General features: G+C 38.6%; 1 protein-coding gene across 5 annotated transcripts in view, besides 1 other annotated feature; it reads right to left on the reverse strand.

Annotated features, from left to right (window-relative positions):
• CD1B (CD1b molecule) overlaps nucleotides 1-24621 on the reverse strand; it is a 46127-nt gene extending 21506 nt beyond the window's left edge. For 2 of the 5 annotated variants that reach the window (XM_017002785.3, XM_017002784.3), the window contains exons 1-3: nucleotides 24453-24621; nucleotides 23886-24152; nucleotides 22942-23220 (exon numbers count right to left, since the gene is read on the reverse strand). In XM_017002785.3, coding sequence (XP_016858274.1) covers nucleotides 22942-23220; nucleotides 23886-24152; nucleotides 24453-24513 — 607 coding nt within the window. In that variant the 5' untranslated portion in view covers nucleotides 24514-24621. Of the gene's footprint in view, nucleotides 1-21044; nucleotides 21348-22010; nucleotides 22105-22459; nucleotides 22739-22941; nucleotides 23221-23885; nucleotides 24153-24452 lie in introns of those variants that run through there. The other 3 variants (XM_011510119.4, NM_001764.3, XM_017002786.3) reach the window with 3 other exon arrangements.
• Nucleotides 3950-3999: a silencer, noted in NCBI's record as "silent region_1450". NCBI's record gives its function as "represses an Ori minimal core promoter by ATAC-STARR-seq in GM12878 lymphoblastoid cells {active_cell/tissue: GM12878}" and the evidence as "EXISTENCE:reporter gene assay evidence [ECO:0000049][PMID:35858748]".

The raw sequence follows: 24621 nt of genomic DNA on the forward strand, positions 1-24621 counted from the left end.
TCTGGGACACATTCAAGGCAGTGTGTAGAGGGAAATTTATAGCACTAAATGCCCACTAGAGAAAGCAGGAAAGATCTAAAATTGACACCATAACATCACAATTAAAAGAACTAGAGAAGCAAGAGCAAACACATTCAAAAGCTAGCAGAAGGCAAGAAATAACTAAGATCAGAGCTGAACTGAAGGAAATAAGAGACACAAAAACCCTTCAAAAAATCAATGAATCCAGGAGCTGCTTTTTTGAAAAGATCAACAAAATTGACAGACTGCTAGCAAGACTAATACAGAAGAAAAGAGAGCAGAATCAAATAGACGCAATAAAAGATGATAAAGGGGATATCACCACTGATCCCACAGAAATACAGACTACCATCAGAGAATAATACTATAAATACCTCTACGCAAATAAACTAGAAAGTCTAGAAGAAATGGATAAATTCCTCGACACGTACACCCCCCCAAGACTAAATCAGGAAGAATTTGAATCCCTGAATAGACCAATAACAGGCTCTGAAATTGAGGCAATAATTAATAGCTTACCAATCAAAAAAAGTCCAGGACCCAATGGATTCACTGCCAAATTCTACCAGAAGTACAAGGAGGAGCTGGTACCATTCCTTCTGAAATTATTCCAATCAATAGAAAAAGAGGGAATCCTACCTAACTCATTTTATGAGGCCAGCATTATCCTGATACCAAAACCTGGCAGAGACATAACAAAAAAAGACAATTTTAGACCAATATCCCTGACGAACATCGATGCAGAAATTCTCAATAAAATACTGGCAAACCGAATTCAGCAGCATATCAAAAACCTTATCCACCCTGATAAAGTGGGCTTCATCTTGAAAAGTCCTTTGACAAAATTCAACAACCCTTCATGCTAAAAACTCTCAATAAATTAGGTATTGATGGGATGTATCTCAAAATAATAAGAGCTATTTATGACAAACCCACAGGCAATATCATACTGAATGGGCAAAACCTGGAAGCATTCCCTTGGAAAACTGGCACAAGACAGGGATGCCCTCTCTCACCACTCCTATTCAACATAGTGTTGGAAGTTCTGGCCAGGGCAATTAGGCAGGAGAAGGAAATAAAGGGTATTGAATTAGGAAAAGAGGAAGTCAAATTGTCCCTGTTTGCAGATGACATGATTGTATATCTAGAAAACCCCATCGTCTCAGCCCCAAATCTCCTTAAGCTGATAGGCAACTTCAGCAAAGTCTCAGGATACAAAGTCAATGTGCAAAAATCACAAGCATTCTTACACACCAGTAACAGACAGAGAGCCAAACCATGAGTGAACTCCCATTCACAATTGCTTCAAAAAGAATAAAATACCTAGGAATCCAACTTACAAGGGATGTGAAGGACCTCTTCAAGGAGAACTACAAACCACTGCTCAGTGAAATAAAAGAAGATACAAACAAATGGAAGAACATTCCATGCTCATGGGTAGGAAGAATCAATATCATGAAAATGGCCATACTGCCCAAGGTAATTTGTAGATTCAATGCCATCTCCATCAAGTTACCAATGACTTTCTTCACAGAATTGGAAAAAACTACTTTAAAGTTCATATGGAACCAAAAAGAGCCCGCATTGCCAAGTCAATCCTAAGCCAAAAGAATAAAGCTGGAGGCATCACACTACCTGACTTCAAACTATACTACAAGGCTACAGTAACCAAAACAGCATGGTACTGGTACCAAAACAGAGATATAGAACAATGGAACAGAACAGAGCCCTCAGAAATAACGCCACATATCTATAACCATCTGATCTTTGACAAAGCTGACAAAAACCAGCAATGGGGAAAGGATTCCCTATTTAATAAATGGTGCTGGGAAAACTGGTTAGCCATATGTAGAAAGCTGAAACTGGATCCCTTCCTTACACCTTATACAAAAATCAATTCAAGATGGATTAAAGACTTACATGTTAGACCTGAAACCGTAAAAACCCTAGAAGAAAACCTAGGCAATACCATTCAGGACATAGGCATGGGCAAGGACTTCATGTCTAAAACACCAAAAGCAATGGCAACAAAAGCCAAAATTGACAAATGGGATCTAATTAAACTAAAGAGCTTCTGCACAGCAAAAGAAACTACCATCAGAGTGAACAGGCAACCTACAGAATGGGAGAAAACTTTTGCAACCTACTCATCTGACAAAGGGCTAATATCCAGAATCTACTATGAACTCAAACAAATTTACAAGAAAAAAACAAACAACCCCATCAAAAAGTGGGCAAAGGATATGAACAGACACTTCTCAAAAGAAGACCTTTATGCAGCCAAAGGACACATGAAAAAACGGTCATCATCACTGGCCATCAGAGAAATGCAAATCAAAACCACAATGAGATACCATCTCACAGCCTTTAGAATGGCGATCATTAAAAGGTCAGGAAACAAGAGGTGTGGAGAGGATGTGGAGAAATAGGAACACTTTTACACTGTTGGTGGGACTGTAAACTAGTTCAGCCATTGTGGAGGTCAGTGTGGCGATTCCTCAGGGATCTAGAACTAGAAATACCATTTGACCCAGCCATCCCATTACTGGTTATATACCCAAAGGATTATAAATCATGCTGCTATAAAGACACATGCACACATATGTTTATTGAGGCACTATTCACAATAGCAAAGACTTGGAACCAACCCAAATGTCTAACAATGATAGACTGGATTAAGAAAATGTGGCACATATACACCATGGAATACTATGCAGCCATAAAAAATGATGAGTTCATGTCCTTTGTAGGGACATGGATGAAACTGGAAACCACCTTTCTCAGCAAACTATTGCAAGGACAAAAAACAAAACACTGCATGTTCTCACTCACCGGTGGGAATTGAACAATGAGAACACATGGACACAGGAAGGGGAATATCACATACCGGGGCCTGTTGTGGGGTGGGGGGAAGGGGGAGGGATAGCATTAGGAGATATACCTAATATTAAATAACGAGTCAATGGCTGCAGCACAACAACATGGCACATGTATACATATGTAACTAACCTGCACATTGTGCACATATACCCTAAAACTTAACGTATAATAATAAAAAAAAAAGAGTCTGAACACCCAAAGCAATCTTAAGCAAAAAGAACAAAGCTGGAAGCACCACACTATCTGACTTCAAACTATAGTACAAGGCTACAGTAACCAAAACAGCATGGTACTAGTAGAAAAACAAACACATAGATAAATGAACAGGTTAGAGAACCCAGAAATAAATCTGCACACCTTACAACCATCTGATCTTTGACAATGTCAACAGTAAGAAGCAATGGGGTGAAGACTTCCTATTCAATAAATGGTGTTGTGCTAACTGGCTAGCCATATGCAGAATATTGAAAATTTACATCTTCCTTTCACCACATACAAAAGTTAATTCAAGATGGATTAAAGACTTAAATGTAAAACCTAAAACTACAGAAATCTTGGAAGAAAACCTGTGAAATTCCATTCTGGACATAGGCCCTGGCAAGGATTTCATGATGAAGACTTCAAAAGAAACTGCAATGTAAACAAAAATTAAATGGAACTTAATTAAACTAAAGAGTTTCTGCACAGCAAACAAAATTGTCAACAGAATAAACAGACAACTTACAGAATGGAAGAAAATACTTGCAAACTATGTGTATGACAAAGATCTAATACCCAGCATCTATAAGGAACTTAAATTAACAAGCAAAAAACCACAACCTCCTTAAAAAATAGGCAAAGAATATCAACAGACACTTCTCAAAAGAAGACATATACATAGCCAACAAGCATATTTAAAAATTCTCAACATCACTAATCATCAGAGAAATGCAAATCAAAACCACAATGAGATACCATCTCACACCAGTCAGAATGGCTATTATTAAAATGTCAAAAAAGTAACAGATTCTAGCAAGGTTGCAGAGAAAAGAGAATACTTACACTCTGCTGGTGGGAATGTAAATTAGTTCAGCCACTGTGAAGGGCAGTTTGGTGATTTCTCAAAGAACTTAAAACAGAACTTAAAAACTACCTATGGGTACTATGCTCATTACCTGTGTGACGAAACATTCTGTACACCAAGCCCCCACAACATGCAATTTACCCATGTAACAAACCTTCAAATGTAGCTGCCGAACCTAAAATAAGAGGTGGAAAAAAATAATTTTTAAAAATCTATCTGGTCTTTAATGGGTATGTAGTATATTTTTAGTTTGAGACTTTTTAAATAAAATCTATTTTTGTTTGTTTTGTTTTTAATGTGTTTTTTGTTTGTTTGCTTTTGTTTAGTTACCTGCTTAGACTAATTCAAACTGGGGTGAAGTGATATCTCATTGTGGTTTTGATTTGCATTTCCCTACTGATTAGTCATGTTGAGCATATTATATTTACCTATTGGTCATTCGTATGTCTTCTTTTCAGAGTTGTCTAATCAGGTCTTTTGCCCTTTAAAATTTAAATAACTTACTTTTTTGCCATTGAGCTCTTTGAGTTCCTTATATATTCTGGATCTTAATCCCTTTGGATACGTAGTTTGCAGATATTTTCTACCATTCTGTAGCTTATTTCCTTTGCTGTGCAGAGCTTGTTAGTTAGATAAAATTTCATTTGTCTATTTTGTTTTGTATTACCAGTGCTTTTGAGGTCTTATCGAAAATCTTTTCCCAGACCAACATGAAGCATTCCCCTATATTTTCTTCTTGTAGTTTCACAATTTTGGGTCTTACATTTAAGTCTTTAACCCATCTTCATTTGATTTTGTATATGGTGAGATATAGGGCTCTAGTTTTGTTCTTCTGCATATGGATATTCAGTTTTCCCAGCACTATTTATTGAAGAGACTGTTCTGTCCCCAATGTGTGTCTTGGCACTTTTGTTAAAAATAGGTTGGCTGTAAAGGCATGGATTTATTTCTGGGTTATATATTCTGTTCCGCTGATCTATGTATCTGTTTTTATACCAGTACCATGCTGTTTTGGTTACTATAGTTTTGTAGTATATTTTGAAATCAGGTAGTGTGATTTCTACAGATTTGCCCTTTTTGCTCAAGATTACTTTGGCTTTTGGGGTCTTTGATGGTTCAATATTAATTTAGAATCATCTTTTCTATTTCTATGAAGTATGTCATTGGTATTTTGATAGAGATTACATTGAATCTGTAGATTGCTTTGGGTAGTATGGGCATTTTAACAATGCCAATTATTTCAATCTGTGAACATAAAATACGATATGATTTGGCCCTGTGTCCCCACCCAAATCTCATCTTGTAGCCACCATAATTCCCATATGTTGTGGGAGGGACCTAGTGGGAGATAATTGAATCATGGGGACAAGTCTTTCCTGTGCTGTTCTCATGTTAGTGAATGAGTCTCATGAGATATGATAGTTTTAAAAACAGTAGTTTCCATGCACAAACTCTCTTCTCTCTTGCTGCTGCTGTGAAAGAAGTGCCTTTTACCTTCTGCCATGACTGTGAGGCCACCCCAGCTACGTGGAACTGTGAGTCCAAATAAACCTCTTTCTTTTGTAAATTATCTAGTCTCAGATATGTCTTTATTAGCAGGACGAAAATGAACTAGTACAAAATACCTTTCCAATAATTTTTGTCCTTTTCAATTTCTTTCATCAGTGTTTTATAGATTTTTTTGTAGAGTTTTTACCTCCTTTGTTACATTTATTCTTAAGTATCTTATATTTTGTAGCTATTGTACATGGAATTGTTTTCTTGATTTATTTTTCAGATATTTTGATGTTGGTGAAGGAAATATTACTGCTTTTTGTATATGCATTTAATATCCTGAAATTTTACTGAATTTATTAGTGCTCATGGCTTTTTGATGAAGTAATTAGTATTTTCTGTATATAAAGTTGTGATCTCCACAAACAGGGATAATTTGACTTCCTTCTTTTTAATTGTATGCCCCGTATTTCTTTCTCTTGCCTAATTACCCTGGCTAGGAGTTCCAGTACAATGTTGACTAGAAGTAGTGAAAGTGGACATCTTTGCTTAGTTCCAGATTTTAGAGAAATTTCTTTCATCTTTTCCCCATTTTGTTTTATATTAGCTGTGGGTTTCTCATATGTGGCTTTTATTGTGTTTAGGTACGTTCCTTATATACCTAATTTATTGATAACTTTTATCATAGTGGGATGTTGAATTCTATCAAATGCTTTCTCTGTTTCTATTGAAATGATTACGTGCTTTTGTCCTTTATTCTATTAATGTGATGCAGTACATTTATTAATCTGAATACTTTGAATCATCCTTGCATCCCTGGAATGAATGCCACTTGATTTTAAAGGCTGGTCTTTTAAGTATTCTGTTAAATTTAGTTTGCTAGCATTTTCTTGAGGATTTTTGCATGCGTTTCATTAGGGATATTGGCCTGTAGTTTTTCCTATTTTATTTTATTTTTTTGAGAAAGTGTCTCACTCTGTCACCCAAGCTGGAGTGCAGTGGCACAATCACATCTCACCACAGCCTCAACCTCCTGGGCTTGGGTGATCCTCCAACCTCAGCCTCCTGAGTAGCTAGGACTACAGGCGCCCACCACCATTTTTGGCTAATATTTGTACTTTTTTTAGAGACAAGGTTTCATCATGTTGACAGGCTGGTCTTGAACTCCTGGGCTCAAGTGATCCACCCTCCTTGGCTTCCCAAAGTGCTAGGATTACAGGCATGAGCAACCACTTCTGTCCTGTAATTTTCTTTTTTGTTTTTGTTGTGTCATCTAGTTTTTATATCGGGCTAATGAATGCTAGTCTCAAATAATAAGTCTGGACAAATTTACTCTCATTCAGTTTTTTTGGGGGCAGTTTGAGAAGAACAGGCATTAGTTATTTTTAAAATATTTGGTAGAATTCAGCAGTGAGGTCATCAGCTCCTGTGCTTTCTTTAATGGGAGACTTTAAACTATTGTTTCAATCTTGTTACTCATTATTGGCCTGTTTGAATTTTCTGTTTCTTCATGATTCAATCTTGTGGTTGTATGAGTCCAGGCATTTACCTATTTCTTCTAAGTTTTACAATTTGTTTTCATATAGTTGTTCATAATGGTCTCTTATGGTCCTTTGTATTTATATTATATTATTTGTAAAGTCTCCTTTTATATCTATGATTTTATTTTTTTGACTCCTCTTTTTTTCTTAATTTGTCTAGTTAAAAGTTTGTCAGGTTTTGTTTTTGATTTTTGAGACAGAGTCTAGCTCCATTGCCCAGGCTGGAGTGCAGTGGCACGATCTCTGCTCACTGCAACCTCTGCCTCCCAGGTTCAAGTGATTCTCCTGATTCAGCCTCCCTAGTGGCTGGAATTACAGGGGCCTGCCACCACAATCAGCTAATTTTTGTATTTTTAGTAGAGATGGGGTTTCACCATGTTGCTCAGGCTGGTGTTGAACTCTTAACAAGTGATCCACCCTCCTCGGCCTCCCAAAGTGCTGGGATTAAGTGGTGAGCCACCGTGCCTGGCCAAGTGTTTTATATTTTGAAAAAACGAAGTCTTCTTTGTTATTCTTTTGTGTTGTTTTTTAAGGCTCTATTTAATTTATTTCTGTTTTTACATTTATCGTTGCTTCTCTTCTACTAGTTTTGGCTTGATGTTGTTCTTGTTTTTCTAGTTCCTTGAGCAACATGAGGTTATCTGAAATCTTTCTACTTTTTAAATGTAAGCCTTTATTGCTGTAGACTTCCCTCTTAGAAATGCTTTTGCTGTATTCCATAGGTTTTGTTTTGTTTTTTTTATTTTTTTATTTTTTTATTATTATACTTTAAGTTTTAGGGTAATGTGCACATTGTGCATGTTAGTTACGTATGTATACATGTGCCATGCTGGTGCGCGGCACCCACTAACTCGTCATCTAGCATTAGGTATATCTCCCAATGCTATCCCTACCCCCTCCCCCCACCCCACAACAGTCCCCAGAGTGTGATGTTCCCCTTCCTGTGTCCATGTGATCTCTTTGTTCAATTCCCACCTATGAGTGAGAATATGCGGTGTTTGGTTTTTTGTTCTTGCGATAGTTTACTGAGAATGATGATTTCCAATTTCATCCATGTCCCTACAAAGGACATGAACTCATCATTTTTTATGGCTGCATAGTATTCCATGGTGTATATATGCCACATTTTCTTAATCCAGTCTATCATTGTTGGACATTTGGGTTGGTTCCAAGTCTTTGCTATTGTGAATAATGCCGCAATAAACACACGTGTGCATGTGTCTTTATAGCAGCATGATTTATAATCCTTTGGGTATATACTCAGTAATGGGATGGCTGGGTCAAATGGTATTTCTAGTTCTAGATCCCTGAGGAATCGCCACACTGACTTCCACAATGGCTGAACTAGTTTACAGTCCCATCAACAGTGTAAAAGTGTTCCTATTTCTCCACATCCTCCCCAGCACCTGTTGTTTCCTGACTTTTTAATGATTGCCATTCTAACTGGTGTGAGATGGTATCTCATTGTGGTTTTGATTTGCATTTCTCTGATGGCCAGTGATGATGAGCATTTTTTAATGTGTTTTTTGGCTGCATAAAGGTCTTCTTTTGAGAAGTGTCTGTTCATGTCCTTTGCCCACTTTTTGATGGGGTTGTTTGTTTTTTTCTTGTAAATTTGTTTGAGTTCATTGTAGATTCTCGATATTAGCCCTTTGTCAGATGAGTAGGTTGCAAAAATTTTCTCCCATTTTGTAGGTTGCCTGTTCACTCTGATGGTAGTTTCTTTTGCTGTGCAGAAGCTCTTTAGTTTAATTAGATCCCATTTGTCAATTTTGGCTTTTGTTGCCATTGCTTTTGGTGTTTTAGACATGAAGTCCTTGCCCATGCCTATGTCCTGAATGGTATTGCCTAGGTTTTCTTGTAGGGTTTTTATGGTTTTAGCTCTAACGTTTAAGTCTTTAATCCATCTTGAATTAATTTTTGTATGAGGTGTAAGGAAGGGATCCAGTTTCAGCTTTCTACATATGGCTAGCCAATTATCCCAGCACCATTTATTAAATGGGGAATCCTTTCCCCATTGCTGGTTTTTCTCAGGTTTGTCAAAGATCAGATAGTTGTAGATATGTGGCATTAATTTTGAGGGCTCTGTTCTGTTCCATTGATCTATATCTCTGTTTTGGTTCCAGTACCATGCTGTTTTGGTTACTGTAGCCTTGTAGTATAGTTTGAAGTCAGGTAGTGTGATGCCTCCAGCTTTGTTCTTTTGGCTTACGATTGACTTGGCAATGCGGGCTCTTTTTTGGTTCCATATGAACTAAAAATAGTTTTTTCCAATTCTGTGAAGAAAGGCATTGGTAGCTTGATGGGGATGGCATTGAATCTGTAAATTACCTTGGGCAGTATGGCCATTTTCATGATATTGATTCTTCCTACCCATGAGCATGGAATGTTCTTCCATTTGTTTTTATCCTCTTTTATTTCATTGAGCAGTGGTTTGTAGTTCTCCTTGAAGAGGTCCTTCACATCCCTTGTAAGTTGGATTCCTAGGTATTTTATTCTCTTTAAAGCAATTGTGAATGGGATTTCACTCATGATTTGGCTCTCTGTTTGTCTGTTGTTGGTGTATAAGAATGCTTGTGATTTTTGTACATTGATTTTGTATCCTGAGATTTTGCTGAAGTTGCTTATCTGCTTAAGGAGATTTTGGGCTGAGACAATGGGGTTTTCTAGATATACAATCATGTCGTCTGCAAACAGGGACAATTTGACTTCCTCTTTTCCTAATTGAATACCCTTTATTTCCTTCTCCTGCCTAATTGCCCTGGCCAGAACTTCCAACACTATGTTGAATAGGAGTGGTGAGAGAGGGCATCCTTGTCTTGTGCCAGTTTTCAAAGTGAATACTTCCAGTTTTTGCCCATTCAGTATGATATTGGCTGTGGGTTTGTCATAGATAGCTCTTATTATTTTGAAATACGTCCCATCAATACCTAATTTATTGAGAGTTTTGAGCATGAAGGGTTGTTGAATTTTGTCAAAGGTCTTTTCTGCATCTATTGAGATAATCATGTGGTTTTTGTCTTTGGCTCTGTTTATATGCTGGATTACATTTATTGATTTGCGTATATTGAACCAGCCTTGCATCCCAGGGATGAAGCCCACTTGATCATGGTGGATAAGCTTTTTGATGTGCTGCTGGATTTGGTTTGGCAGTATTTTATTGAGGATTTTTGCATCAATGTTCATCAAGGATATTGATTGGTCTAAAATTCTCTTTTTTGGTTGTGTCTCTGCCCGGCTTTGGTATCAGAATGATGCTGGCCTCATAAAATGAGTTAGGGAGGATTCCCTCTTTTTCTATTGATTGGAATAGTTTCAGAAGGAATGGTACCAGTTCCTCCTTGTACCTCTGGTAGAATTCGGCTGTGAATCCATCTGGTCCTGGACTCTTTTTTGTTGGTAAGGTATTGATTATTGCCACAATTTCATATCCTGTTATTGGTCTATTCAGAGATTCAACTTCTTCCTGGTTTAGTCTTGGGAGAGTGTATGTGTCGAGGAATTTATCCATTTCTTCTTGATTTTCTAGTTTATTTGCGTAGAGGTGTTTGTAGTATTCTCTGATGGTAGTTTGTATTTCCGTGGGATCGGTGGTGATATCCCCTTTATCATTTTTTTATTGTGTCTATTTGATTCTTCTCTCTTTTTTTCTTTATTAGTCTTGCTAGTGGTCTATCTATTTTGTTGATCCTTTCAAAAAACCAGCTCCTGGATTCATTAATTTTTTGAAGGGTTTTTGTGTCTCTATTTCCTTCAGTTCTGCTCTGATTTTAGTTATCTCTTGCCTTCTGCTAGCTTTTGAATGTGTTTGCTCTTGCTTTTCTAGTTCTTTTAACTGTGATGTTAGGATGTCAATTTTGGATGTTTCCTGCTTTCTCTTGTGGGCATTTAGTGCTATAAATTTCCCTCTACACACTGCTTTGAATGCGTCCCAGAGATTCTGGTATGTTGTGTGTTTGTTCTTGTTCATTTCAAAGAACATCTTTATTTCTGCCTTCATTTCATTATGTACCCAGTAGTCATTCAGAAGCAGGTTGTTCAGTTTCCATGTAGTTGTGCGGTTTTGAGTGAGATTCTTAATTCTGAGTTCTAATTTGATTGCACTGTGGTCTGAGAGATAGTTTGTTATAATTTCTGTTCCTTTACATTTGCTGAGGAGAGCTTTACTGCCAACTATGTGATCAATTTTGGAATAGGTGTGGTGTGGTGCTGAAAAAAATGTATATTCTGTTGATTTGGGGTGGAGAGTTCTGTAGATGTCTATTAGGTCCGCTTGGGGCAGAGCTGAGTTCAATTCCTGGGTATCCTTGTTGACTTTCTGTCTTGTTGATCTGTCTAATCTTGACAGTGGGGTGTTAAAGTCTCCCATTATTAATGTGTGGGAGTCTAAGTCTCTTTGTAGGTCACTCAGGACTTGCTTTATGGATCTGGGTGCTCCTGTATTGGGTGCATATATATTTAGGATAGTTAACTCTTCTTGTTGAATTGATCCCTTTACCATTCTGTAATGGTCTTCTTTGTCTCTTTTGATCTTTATTAGTTTAAAGTCGGTTTTATCAGAGACTAGGATTGCAATCCCTGCCTTTTTTTGTTTTCCATTTGCTTGGTAGATCTTCCTCCATCCTTTTATTTTTAGCCTGTGTGTGTCTCTGCACGTGAGATGGGTTTCCTGAATACAGCACACTGATGGGTCTTGACTCTTTATCCAATTTGCCAGTCTGTGTCTTCTAATTGGAGCATTTAGTCCATTTACATTTAAAGTTAATATTGTTATGTGTGAATTTGATCCTGTCATTATGATGTTAGGTGGTTATTTTGTTCATTAGTTGATGCAGTTTCTTCCTAGTCTTGATGGTCTTTACATTTTGGCATGATTTTGCAGCAGCTTGTACCGGTTGTTCCTTTCCATGTTTAGCGCTTCCTTCAGGAGCTCTTTTAGGGCAGGCCTGTTGGTGACAAAATCTTTCAGCATTTGCTTGTCTGTAAGGTATTTTATTTCTCCTTCACTTATGAAGCTTAGTTTGGCTGGATATTTAATTCTGGGTTGAAAATTCTTTTCTTTAAGAATGTTGAATATTGGCCCCCACTCTCTTCTGGCTTGTAGGGTTTCTGCCAAGAGATCCGCTGTTAGTCTGATGGGCTTCCCTTTGAGGGTAACCCGACCTTTCTCTCTGGCTGCCCTTAACATTTTTTCCTTCATTTCAACTTTGGTGAATCTGACAATTATGTGTCTTGGAGTTGCTCTTCTCGAGGAGTATCTTTGTGGTGTTCTCTGTATTTCCTGAATCTGAACGTTGGCCTGCCTTGCTAGATTGGGGAAGTTCTCCTGGATAATATCCTGCAGAGTGTTTTCCAACTTGGTTCCATTCTCCCCGTCACTTTCAGGTACACCAATCAGACGTAGATTTGGTCTTTTCACATAGTCCCATATTTCTTGGAGGCTTTGTTGATTTCTTTTTATTCTTTTTTCTCTAAACTTCCCTTCTCACTTCATTTCATTCATTTCATCTTCCATCAATGATACCCTTTCTTCCAGTTGATCGCATCAGCTCCTGAGGCTTCTGCATTCTTCACGTAGTTCTTGAGCCTTGGTTGTCAGCTCCATCACTCCTTTAAGCACTTCTCTGTGTTGGTTATTCTAGTTATACATTCTTCTAAATTTTTTTCCAAGTTTTCAACTTCTTTGCCTTTGGTTTGAATGTCCTCCTGTAGCTCAGAGTAATTTGATCGTCTGAAGCCTTCTTCTCTCAGCTCGTCAAAGTCGTTCTCTGTCCAGCTTTGTTCCATTGCTGGTGAGGAACTGCGTTCCTTTGGAGGAGGAGAGGCGCTCTGCTTTTTAGAGTTTCCAGTTTTTCTGTTCTGTTTTTTCCCCATCTTTGTGGTTTTATCTATTTTGGTCTTTGATGATGGTGATGTACAGATGAGTTTTTGATGTGGATGTCCTTTCTGTTTGTTAGTTTTCCTTCTAACAGACAGGACCCTCAGCTGCAGGTCTGTTGGAGTACCCTGCCGTGTGAGGTGTCAGTGTGCCCCTGCTGGGGGGTGCCTCCCAGTTAGGCTGCTCGGGAGTCAGGGGTCAGGGACCCGCTTGAGGAGGCAGTCTGCCCGTTCTCAGATCTCCAGCTGCGTACTGGGAGAACCACTGCTCTCTTCAAAGCTGTCAGACAGGGACATTTAAGTCTGCAGAGGTTACAGCTTTTTGTTTGTCTGTGCCCTGCCCCCAGAGGTGGAGCCTACAGAGGCAGGCAGGCCTCCTTGAGCTGTGGTGGGCTCCACCCAGTTCGAGCTTCCTGGCTGCTTTGTTTACCTAAGCAAGCCTGGGCAATGGTGGGCGCCCCTGCCTCAGCCTCACTGCCGCCTTGCAGTTTGATCTCAGACTGCGGTGCTAGCAATCAGCTAGACTCTGTGGGCGTAGGACCCTCCGAAGCAGGTGTGGGATATAATCTCATGGTGTGCCGTTTTTTAAGTCCGTTGGAAAAGCGCAGTATTCGGGTGGGAGTGACCCGATTTTCCAGGTGCCGTCCGTCACCCCTTTCTTTGACTAGGAAAGGGAACTCCCTGACCCCTTGCACTTCCCGAGTGAGGCAATGCCTCACCCCGCTTCAGCTGGCACACGGTGTGCGCACCCACTGACCTGCACCCACTGTCTGGCACTCCCTAGTGAGACGAACCCGGTACCTCAGATGGAAATGCAGAAATCACCCATCTTCTGCGTCACTCAGGCTGGGAGCTGTAGACCGGAGCTCTTCCTATTTGGCCATCTTGGCTCCTCCCCCTCCATAGGTTTTTGTGTGTTGTGTTCCCATTTCCATTTTTTCAAGAAATATTGAAATTTTCTTTTTGATTTTTTTCACTGAACCACTGGTTGTTCAGCTGTATGTTGTCTAATTTCCATGTATTTGTAGTTTCCAAAGTTCCTCCTCTTATTGATTTCTAGTTCTATACCATTATTGTTGAAAAAAACATTTTTTGATTTTTAATTTTTTAATATGTTAAGACTTTTATTGCAGCTTAACATAAGATATATCCTGGAGAATGTTCCATGTACTGTGGAGAAGAATGTATATTCTGCAACTACTGGATAGAATGTTCTTTAAGCATCTGTTAGGTTCATTTGGTCAGGAGTTCAGTTTAACTCTCATTTTTTGTTGATATTCTGTCTGGATTATCTGTTTATCACTGAAGATAAGATGTTCAAGTGTTATACTATTGTTGTATTGTACGCTATATCTCCCTGTAGGCCTATTAGCATTTGCTTTATATATTTGTATGTTCAATTGTTGGGTACATGCATATTTATAATTGTTATATTCTCTTTCTGTATTTACCCCTGTATCAGTTTTTAATTAGCATATTTGTCTTTTTTTACAGTTTTTTTGGCTTAAAGTCTATTATGTCTGATATAAGTATAGCTACTTCTGCTCCATTTTGCTCTCCATTTGCATGGAATATCTTTTTCTATCCCTTCACTTTCAGTCTATTTGTGTTCTTCTGCGTAAAGTGAGGCTCTTATAGGCAGCATATAGTTGAGTCTTTAAAAAAATCAATTTAGCTACTTTATGTTGTTTAATAGGAAAATTTAATCCATTTACATTCAAGGTAACTACCAATAGGTAAGGAGGTACTACTGACATTTTGTTACTTCTTTCCTAGTTATTTTGTAGATCCTTCCTTCTTTTCTACCACTCTTGCTATATCCTTTTGTGGTTAAGTGATATTCTCCAACATTATGCTTTGATTCACTGCTGTTTATCTTTAGTGTATCTATTATAGGTTTTTACTTTGTGGTTATCATGAGGCTTTGAAATACATATTTTGTTTACATCAAGTTGTTTTATTTTATTTTAAATTTCCTACTTTTATTTTAAGTCCAGGGGTACATGTGCAGGATGTATAGGCTTATTACATAGGAAAACGTGTGCCATGGTGGTTTACTGCACAGATCATCCCATTACCCAGGTATTAACCCCAGCATCCATTAGCTATTCTTCCTGATCTTCTCCCTCCTCTCATCCACCACACTCAGGCCCCAGTGTGTGTTGCTCCCCACCATGTGTCCATGTATAACAAGTTATTTTAAGCTAATAGGAACTTAATTTTAATCAGAAAAGAAAGGAAACAAAAATATTGTACACTCTAACTCCTTTCTTCTCAAGTATTTTGAATTTTCATGTCCCAATTTACATCTTTTGTATGGTTTATCTTTTAATAAAGTATTTTAGTTATCATTTTTAAGAGCTTTGTATTTTTGTATTCATACTAAAGTTATAAGTGGTTTACATACCATAATTACAATGTTAGATATCCCAAATTTATCTGTATTCCTACATTTATTCATTTATTTAAAGGCAGGGTCTTACTCTATCACCCAGGCTGGAGTGCTGTGACTCAATCTTGGCTCACTGCAACCTCTGCCTCCTAGGCTCAAGGAATTATCCTATTTCAGCCTCTTGAATAGCTGGGACTACAGACACAAGCCACCATGGCTGGCTATTTATTTTTTTTCTGTTTTTTTTTTTTTGTGTGTGTGTGTTTTCTCGTAAGATGCGGTTTTGCCATGTTGCCCAGGCTGAACTCAAATCCTTGGGTTTTTTAGTCAATCCACTTGCCTCAGCTTTCTAAAGTGGTGGGGTTACAGCCATGAGCTACCATGCCTGGCCTGTATACTTACCTTTACCAGTGAGTTTTATACCTTTTGATATTTTCTTGTTACACATTAGCATTTTTTTTCTTTCAAGTTGAAGAACTTCCTTTGTTATTTCTTGTAAGACAGATCTGGTGGTGTTGCATTTACTTGGCTTTTGTTTGTCTGGAAGAGCCTTTATCTCTCCTTCATTTCTGAAGGACATATTTGCCAGTTACTTTATTCTTGGTTGGCATTCTTTTTCTTTCAGCATTCTGAATATATTGCCCTACACTTTTTGGCCTGCAAGGTTTCTGCTGAAAAGTCTGCTGCCAGGCATATCAACATTCCCTTACATGTTATTTGCTTCTTTTCTATTACTGCTTTTAGAATGCTCTGTTTTTATTTCGAGAGTCAAAGGGTATGTCTTGAGGTAGTTCCATTTGTGTTGAATATGATTGATGGCCTTTGACCTTCCTTTACTTGAGCATTTACATCTTTTTCCAGGATTGTAAAATTTTCTTTTATGATTTCTGTGAATAAGCCGTCTATTTCCTTGTCTTTTTCTGTACCCTCTTGAACTCCAATGACCCAAGTATTTGCTCTTTCAATAGTATCCCATAGACTCCATGAACTTCACTTGTTTCTTTTTTTTTATTCTTTTTCCCACTTTGGCCATATTTCAAATAGTCTATCTTAGATTTCACTGATTTTTTTTTCTTCTGCTTGATTAATTCTGCTGTTAATGCTCGTATTGCATTTCTTATTTCATTAATTGTATCTTTTAGCTCTAGGATTTCTGTTAGATTTTTCATTACTTTAGTCCCTGTTAAACTTCTCTGATAAATTTCTGAACTGCTTTTCTCTGTGTTTTACTGAAATTCACTAAGCTTCCTTAACAAGCTATTCTGAATTCCTTGAGAGATAATACTTCTGCATCACTTTAGGGTTTGTCACTGGCATCGTGTTTTGTCTGTTTGGTGAGGTCAAAATTCCCTGGTTGTTCTTGATGCTTGTGTATGTACATTGATGTATTTGCTCTGAAAAAAGGTATTTATTTCAGTCTTCACAGTCTGGCTTTGTTTGTGCCTGTTTTTCTTCACTGGGCCTCTCCAGAATTTAAGCAAACCTAATGTTAGATCGCATGACTGCTGCAGCCATTTCAGCACTAGAGGAAACTCTAAGCCTAGGTTCACTGTGAGTCTCATGAGGGCTGTCAGGTTGGCATGGAGCCCTTATGTAGAAGGACGTGGTGAAGACCCAAGGAGGGTGCCCAAGCTGTGTGAGGAAGCTGGCCAGGGACCTAAGTCCAGGAGCCTGTCTCATTGGCTCAGATGTGGGAGGAGCTGGAGCTGAGACTGGGTCCCCTCAGGATCTGCTTTGGGACAAAGGCTGGTGGTCCCACCAAGGAGTTTCAGAAAAATGGGTGATTGCCTGGCTATGAGATAAGGGTAAGTCTTTCTCTAGGTATCCTTGTGTGAGCAGTAATAAACTCAGATCACAGCTGAGTGGGTCTGGAGCCAAATTACAGGGTAAGTTTCAGATTCACTGCCAACATTTAACGGACAGAAGAGATTTTCTGCCAAGTTATTAGTGTGCATGATTCCTCCTAGACACATTGGTAGATGTTTTTGGTTCAAGACTCAAGACAAAATTGGAGTGTAGCCAAGCCTTTTGTTAACAAGGATGTCTCCAAGTTTGAAACCTGCAGTATCATTGGTGGGTCTGCTATCCAGGTGCTGGTCTGCAATCCCAAAGCTGCCTACCTAGGGCCTTGATTCCACTGAATTTTCACAGATTACTCCCTGATTCCTGAGGCTTCTACAGAGAGACTTTTGTCTGTGGATGAGTAGATAATTCTTGGAGTTGGGGGATATGAGTGGGTTACCTCCTATTCCACCATCTTTCTGACATAGTGTTTGTATTTCTATTCTGACTATAACATATATAGTGGGATTAGATGAATACATAATTACATTGATTCATCGGAAACCAAGATTTTCCGTGTGGGAGAAAAGAGAAGTAGAAGTGAGACTGATGAGTTAAACACATAGTTTTGAATTTGAAGTGAAAGTGTAAATATGAGCTTGTGATGATATTTATCCTCAAAAAAATTTCCACAGGCTAATTTTTTTTTAGGTTTTCCCCCTTAGAAGGCCTAGAAACTAGGATTAACCCAGTAATTTCCGTATCACATTTTTTCCAACTAACAAGGACCAGAGATCCTTGCTAATTTCTAGTGTAGGGCAAGAAGTTTCGGCAAGAACCTTGAGCAACTTTGCCACATCAGGAAGTAATACAGTCTTGATGACAGAGGTGTATTGATGGAGCTCAGGAAGAATTGACTTGAAAAGAATCTCATTGTCACAGATAGGACAATTTGAGCTTCAATAAAACAACTACTATGATAGATACAAGCATTTCAAATAAGCTGAAATTCATGAGTATACAATTATGCAAAAAAATATTGATCACTTGTGGAGAATGCCATATAAAGCATTCATTCTCTTGAGAACGGGCAAATAAATAGAAAGAATAACTATCTTATTACCTTGATTCCATCAAGGTAATAAGATAGTTACTGAAGATAATGTCTCTTTAGGAATATTCTAAGTAATAAGTGAAGAATGTTTAATATATTTTTCTTTCACCCCTAGGCCATTCATTCATAAGATATGACCCAGGGCACTTTGAGGTCCCTGACTCCTTTTCTGAGGGTCCATAGTTCCCAATAAATCCTAACAATACTACCAGGTTAAATTTTTAATTCTATTCTTCTCATGATTTTATGTTGTTCTCCAGAGACTACATGGAATATGATATTGCATCAGATTGGATGCCAAAGCAGATATGAAAATGTAGCTGTTTTCTTATTAAGCCAGACATTAAAGAGAATTGCCAAAATACTAAATAAATAAATAAATAGATGCAGCTGTAAAGCCACGCTTCTCACTACATTTTTGAAAAACATTTAAAAATAAAGATGTAATTTTTGTTGATATGTAATCCATGTTTAATTGTAGAGAAGTTTATAAATATTTTAATTATTAGTTTATTAGTTTTTACTTCTAAGATATATCTAGCTATCTGTCTGGACATACATTTTATACACACACACACACACACACACACGCACACACACAATTTCCATCACACAGAGAAAAGCTTTTCTGGTGATCTCAATCTTTTTTTATTGTGGTAAAATACACATATATAAGATTTACCATTTTGCCATTTTTAAGTGTACAATTCTGTGTTATTAAGTACATTCACACTGTTGTGCCACCTTCAATATAACTTGTACATATGTAAAATGTGTAAGAGTTGAGACCTATTAATCTAGTAATGAATGAAGACCATTAAGCATTATATGCCTCTTGTGAGATATACATAGTATAATAAAACCTGAATCTGAGCACATCACAAATCTATTTATTTATTTTTTATTTTTTCTTGAGACGGAGTCTTGCTCTGTTGCCCAAGCTGGAGTGCAGTGGCGCGATCTCGGCTCACTGCAAGCTCCGCCTCCCGGGTTCATGCCATTCTCCTGCCTCAGCCTCCCTGAGTAGCTGGGACTACAGGTGCCCACCATCATGCCCGGCTAATTTTTTTTGTAGTTTTAGTAGAGATGGGGTTTCACCGTGTTAGCCAGGATGGTCTCAATCAACTGACCTCGTGATCCGCCCGCCTCGGCCTCCCAAAGTGCTGGGATTACAGGCGTGAGCCACCATGCCCGGCCCACAAATCTATTTATATATAGTAAATAAAGAGAACAAAGGGGCATGTTAAATGACATTATAGCTATGTAATCAGCAAAATCCAAACTGTGGATGATTTTACAAGAAGAATGATGAAATTTCTTAAAAAACAAATTCTAGGATAAAAATGAGAGAAGAATCCTACAGATTAAAAACGGTTTATGAAACATCAACTAATTTTAATGCATGAATCTTATTTTTATTCCAATTTAATGAATAAACTGTAAAAACAATTCATGAGACAATTGGAAAAAATTTGAATGCTGAACAACTATATATTTAATGATATTAAGAAATCTTTTATTTGGGGATGTCATAATGTAATTTCGGCTATATGTTAAAAAAGTCTATATGTTACAGAAAGACATGTTGAAATAGTTAAGGATGAAATGATACAATATCTAAAATTTATTTTAATCATGAGTTGATAATTTTTTCAAAACTGTCTAATGAGCAAAGGATAGTTTTTATACTGCTTTATGTTTGCACATATAAAATTATTATTATTATTATTATTATTTTTGGAGACAGGGTCTTGCTCTGTCACCCAGGCTGGAGTGCAGTGGCACAATCTTGGCTCACTGCAACCTCCACTTGCTGGGTTCAAGTGATTCTCCTGCCTCAGCCTTCCAAGTAGCTGGGACTACAGCCATGCACCACCATGCCCGGCTAATTTTTGTATTTTTAGTAGAGACAGATTTTTGCCATGTTGGTCAGCCTGGTCTCAAACTCCTGACCTCAGGTGATCCACCTGCCTCGGCCTCCCAAAGTGCTGGGATTACAGGCGTGAGCCACCACGCTTGGCCCCTATAAAATTATTAATTAATGGACCAGCGCTGGCTGGTCCATTTTACAGAGTGCAGATTGGTCTATTTTACAGAGCACTGATTGGTGCATTTTACAAACCTCTTGCTAGCTACAGAGCACTGATTGGTGTGTTTTTACAGAGCATTGATTGGTGCATTTTACAAAACTCTTGCTAGCTACAGAAAAGTTATAGGAGTCCCCACTCAACCCAGGGAGTGCAGCTGGCTTCACCTCTCACTATGACCCTTTAAAAGCTAGACTATAGCTGTAGTAAGCCAAGGGTGGTTTTCTCCAAAGGAGTTTGGAACAGAAATAAAGAAAACATAATATTTTTTGGCTAAGTGGAAACTATTTTAGCAAGATGAGGAGAATCTACAATATCAACTAAAAAGAAAAAAAAATGGAAGAAAGTAGATGACTCTGAAAGAAAACACTTAACTTGGCAGTTACAGCAACTCAGATAGTTTTTACTGAGAAAATGAATTTGCAGCTAAGAGATCTTGCCAGAGATCTACAAATAGGGAACACTGTCCTCAAGGAACTTACAAAGAGAAGGGGAGGAAAAACAAAAATAACTCCAATGCTGTGAGTAAAGTGTAAAGTGGATCTCTGCATAGTTCCTTTTATTATAGCACTAGGAAAGTCTTCCTGAGGAAGAAACATCTCAGCTGAGCCTTCAGGGCTAGAAATTCATCCAGGCAGAGACAGAGAAGAAATTACATCCAAAAGGCTCTGCATCTCTGCAAATACAGTGATTCTGGCATAATTATATTTGGTTTTCTTTGACAAATGATATTTAACCAGAAGCAGAAAAAGAAAAGTTTTAAATTAGGAAGCCAAAGGGAGTCACCATTAAGTCATATGTATTATATTTCATTTATTTTGAGACACATTTTTTCTAACATTTTAATGTGTGTAAAATCAGGGTGAATCACACTGTTAGTACAGTCTCATAATAAATTTACAGTTTTAAGTACTTTTTTGCTGATGTTTAAATAATAATTTATTTTAAAATACATGAAAACTCTGATTTCATCAAATTTGAAAATCATTTGAAATATGATAAGATTGACTTTTGGGCTGATATCTTGGGCTTCTTGGTACTTATTGCGAATGGGAGAGGAGACATGATGATGGCTCATGGGATATTCTGATATGACCTGTTAAAAACAGAAGAACAAAAGAGCTCCACATAAAAGATGTTTGTACACCCATGCTCATAGTAATATTATTCATGATAGTTAAAAGTGAAAGCAACCCAAGTGTCCATAGATAGACGAATGGATGAACAAAATGTGTTATACGCATATGGTGGAATATTGTTCAGTTTCAAAAAAGGAAGGAAGCCCTTTCATATGCTACAATGAGGATATTACGCTAAATGAAATAAGTCACAAAAAGACAAATATTTACAATTCCACTTATATAAGGTACCTAGAATAGTAGAATTCATAGAGACAGAATGTAGAGCTGTCCTAACCAGGGCCTGGAGAAGAGGGGAAATGGGAACTTGCAGCGTAATAGGAATAGAGTTTCAGTCTTGCAAGACAGAAGAGTTTTGAAGATTGCTTGCACAACAATGTGAACACACTTAACACCACTGAACTGTACACTTAAAAATGGTAAAGATGGTAAACCTTATGTTATGTGTATTTTAACAGAATTTTTTTTAAGTCCACATAAAACGAATGGGAGTTTGGGGAAAGGATATGGTGAAAGGATTGAGGATAAACAATTTTTAAATAGATAAAATGGTAAAAAACAGTGGAAGGGTGAACAGAAAAGACATATTAAAAAAAAAAACAACACCACCCACAACTCACCGGCGCCTCATATACCATAATGCAAGGCATAGCAAAAGGAGCAAGGAAGGCACTATTATTGCCAAAACAATTGAGCCAATGGAGGTGGGGTTTCCTGGCAATTGAGAGAGGACAAAAGGATGTCACTTCAGATACTATACACAGAATTCCTTGGCCTTCCTTTGCCCACCTACTTCCAATGTATGGTCATTTCCAACTTCCTCTCTCATATTCCTGGCCACCATATATCCATCCTTTGATCCCCTCTACCCAGTTTACAGGTCCTTAATTCCTACATTTTTGATAACTTGGATTATCTATTTTTACTCCTGTTGGGATTGGGGTCAGGGAAATCAATCAATCAATCTCTCCCTCTTTCATCTCTCAAGCTCTATCCTTCCCCAGTGCCTCCCTCTATGCCTGAAGATCACTTCCTGGCATTTCCAGCCTGGGTCCCTGCTATTTCTTACTCCAGTAGAGGATGATGTCCTGGCCCTCTAAACTGCTGTGCTTCACCCGACAGGACAGGCCAGCCGCCTCCCCATCTGCCACATCCAGGGTTGCTCGGAGATACCATGTCCAGTTAGCATTGGGCAGGATGTCCCCTAGCTGAGTGCCCTGCTGCTCCTGCTCACCCCGCATCCACATCACCCACACGGGCTTTGGGTAGAATCCTGAGACATGGCACACAAGCTGCAGACGGCCAGGTCCAGGACTGGGGCCACTGGACAGCCAGGCCTCAGGCTTCACTAAGGCAGGAAGGAGAAAAAAAAGTGTCATGTTATAACTCGAGTTCAGAGGTTATGAACTCAGAAACCTACAAGCTTGGACAGCGACCCCATTCACTCCTTTGGGAACCAAATAACTTGTTATTTAAGCTCCTATCCTTTGATATCTTCCTACTCTTGATCTTAGAGGAGGTGGTGGGAAGTGAAATAACAGCAGGACTAACCTTGTCTTTGCAGATCTGCTTTTCCTGCATTGAGGACGCCCAAGAGATATCGGGGGCAGGTTTCATAGAGGAGAATTCTCACAGTTTCCATGATACCTTGATATTGTATGATTAGTGCACAGAATTTCTGTGCCCTGCTGCCACCTTCTGGGGAAGGCACACATGAAGCATTCTTGACACTCAGGAAATCCAATCCTCCTAGAGCTCCCCTCAGGAAGCTTACTATGGCACCTCCAGAATGTAGCTCACAGCCTGCTATGCCCTGGATCTCAAAGGGGTCTATGTAGAGGGAAAAGAGAGCAAGTTATTAAACACAAATAAGAAAAAAAGGCATGAGAAAAGAACCTAGGATTTTAGATTTTGGTGGGGATAAAGTTATTTGGTGTAAAATGATGATGAGCTAAAAACTAATGATAACATTTAGACATTTTCAGAAACAAGAGCATTGAGAAAAATGTGCATGCCATGAAGACAAAGGTATGTGATAAAGGAGTACAGTGAGTATGAAAGGAGAGGTGAGGCAGAGCGTGGTGCAGTCAGGAGTGCAGCATTCCAGAGTGAGTGGAGGTTCCCAGCAAGAGGAGGGTGCGGGGAGGAGATGATTGAAAAGATGGATTAGGGGAGAAAGCCACACGTTAGATCACTCAGGCACAGGGTAGGAGAAGTAAGGGCCCTTGAGGAGAAGTTTCACATAAGACAAACCAGCAGCTGGTTACAAAGTGGAAGACAGTCTGAGAGTAAGAGAAGAGTGCAGAGGCAGCAAGAATCTGAAATATGAGGTGTGATGGTGTGAAGCTGGAGTGAGAGACTACTCAAGAAAAGCATGTGCGTGCATTTGGGTAAAATAGAAAGGAAGGGAGAAGCATCAGAGAGAGCAACACTTTGCAAAAAAGAGAGAAAAGAGAGTCCTTGAGACTCTTCCCAGTTCGGTGGACTAGACTCACATTTCATCTGGAAATCACCGGCAAAGTCTTGTACTTCTCGAGCGAATCCAAAGATGTAGACTCGGAATATCTCCTCTAACTCAGCAACCTCCTTATCACTAAAGTTACCTTTAGACCAAGGCTTCAGGAATATGGCAGTGCCTGAGTCGCTATCCCAGCCATGAATCTGCAAATCATCCAACCAGCCTGAGCCTTGAGTTTGTGCCCAGGTACTATTGGTAAAGGACGAGGTCTGGATAACATGAAAGGAGGTCGGCCCCTGGAAGGCTGTGAAGAGTGGAAAAGCAAGATGGTGAAGATAAAGAGAGAAGCAGGAGACAATTAGGAAGAATGGGAATGAAAATGATTTAGAAAACAAGAACCTAGAGTCTAAAGAACACAGGAAGTCTGACACATTTGACTGCCTTAAGGCTTCAGGTTCTAGTCCCAACCACCAGAATGGTTGAAGAGGGCGGGAGACAGAAAGACCCAGACCCTTAGTGTCCAATTGCACCTAGGAAAGCCCTGCTTGCTTTTTAAAATCCAAACCCCTGCACCAGTGCTGGGAGCTGCCAGAGTGACTCTTACCATGTTCACTGTTACCACCAGGAAAGAGAACAGCTAACAGTTGAAATGGCAGCAGCAGCATTTCACTGGGAGATGCAACTTCTTACTGGCAGAGCTGGTATTTGATCTCCAATTTCAGCAAAGCTTTTCCTCAGTACCCTGTAGTGACTTCTTCTCTCTTCCAACTGCC

The sequence above is a fragment of the Homo sapiens genome, chromosome 1, assembly GCF_000001405.40.
Source record: "Homo sapiens chromosome 1, GRCh38.p14 Primary Assembly".
NCBI lineage: Eukaryota > Metazoa > Chordata > Mammalia > Primates > Hominidae > Homo > Homo sapiens.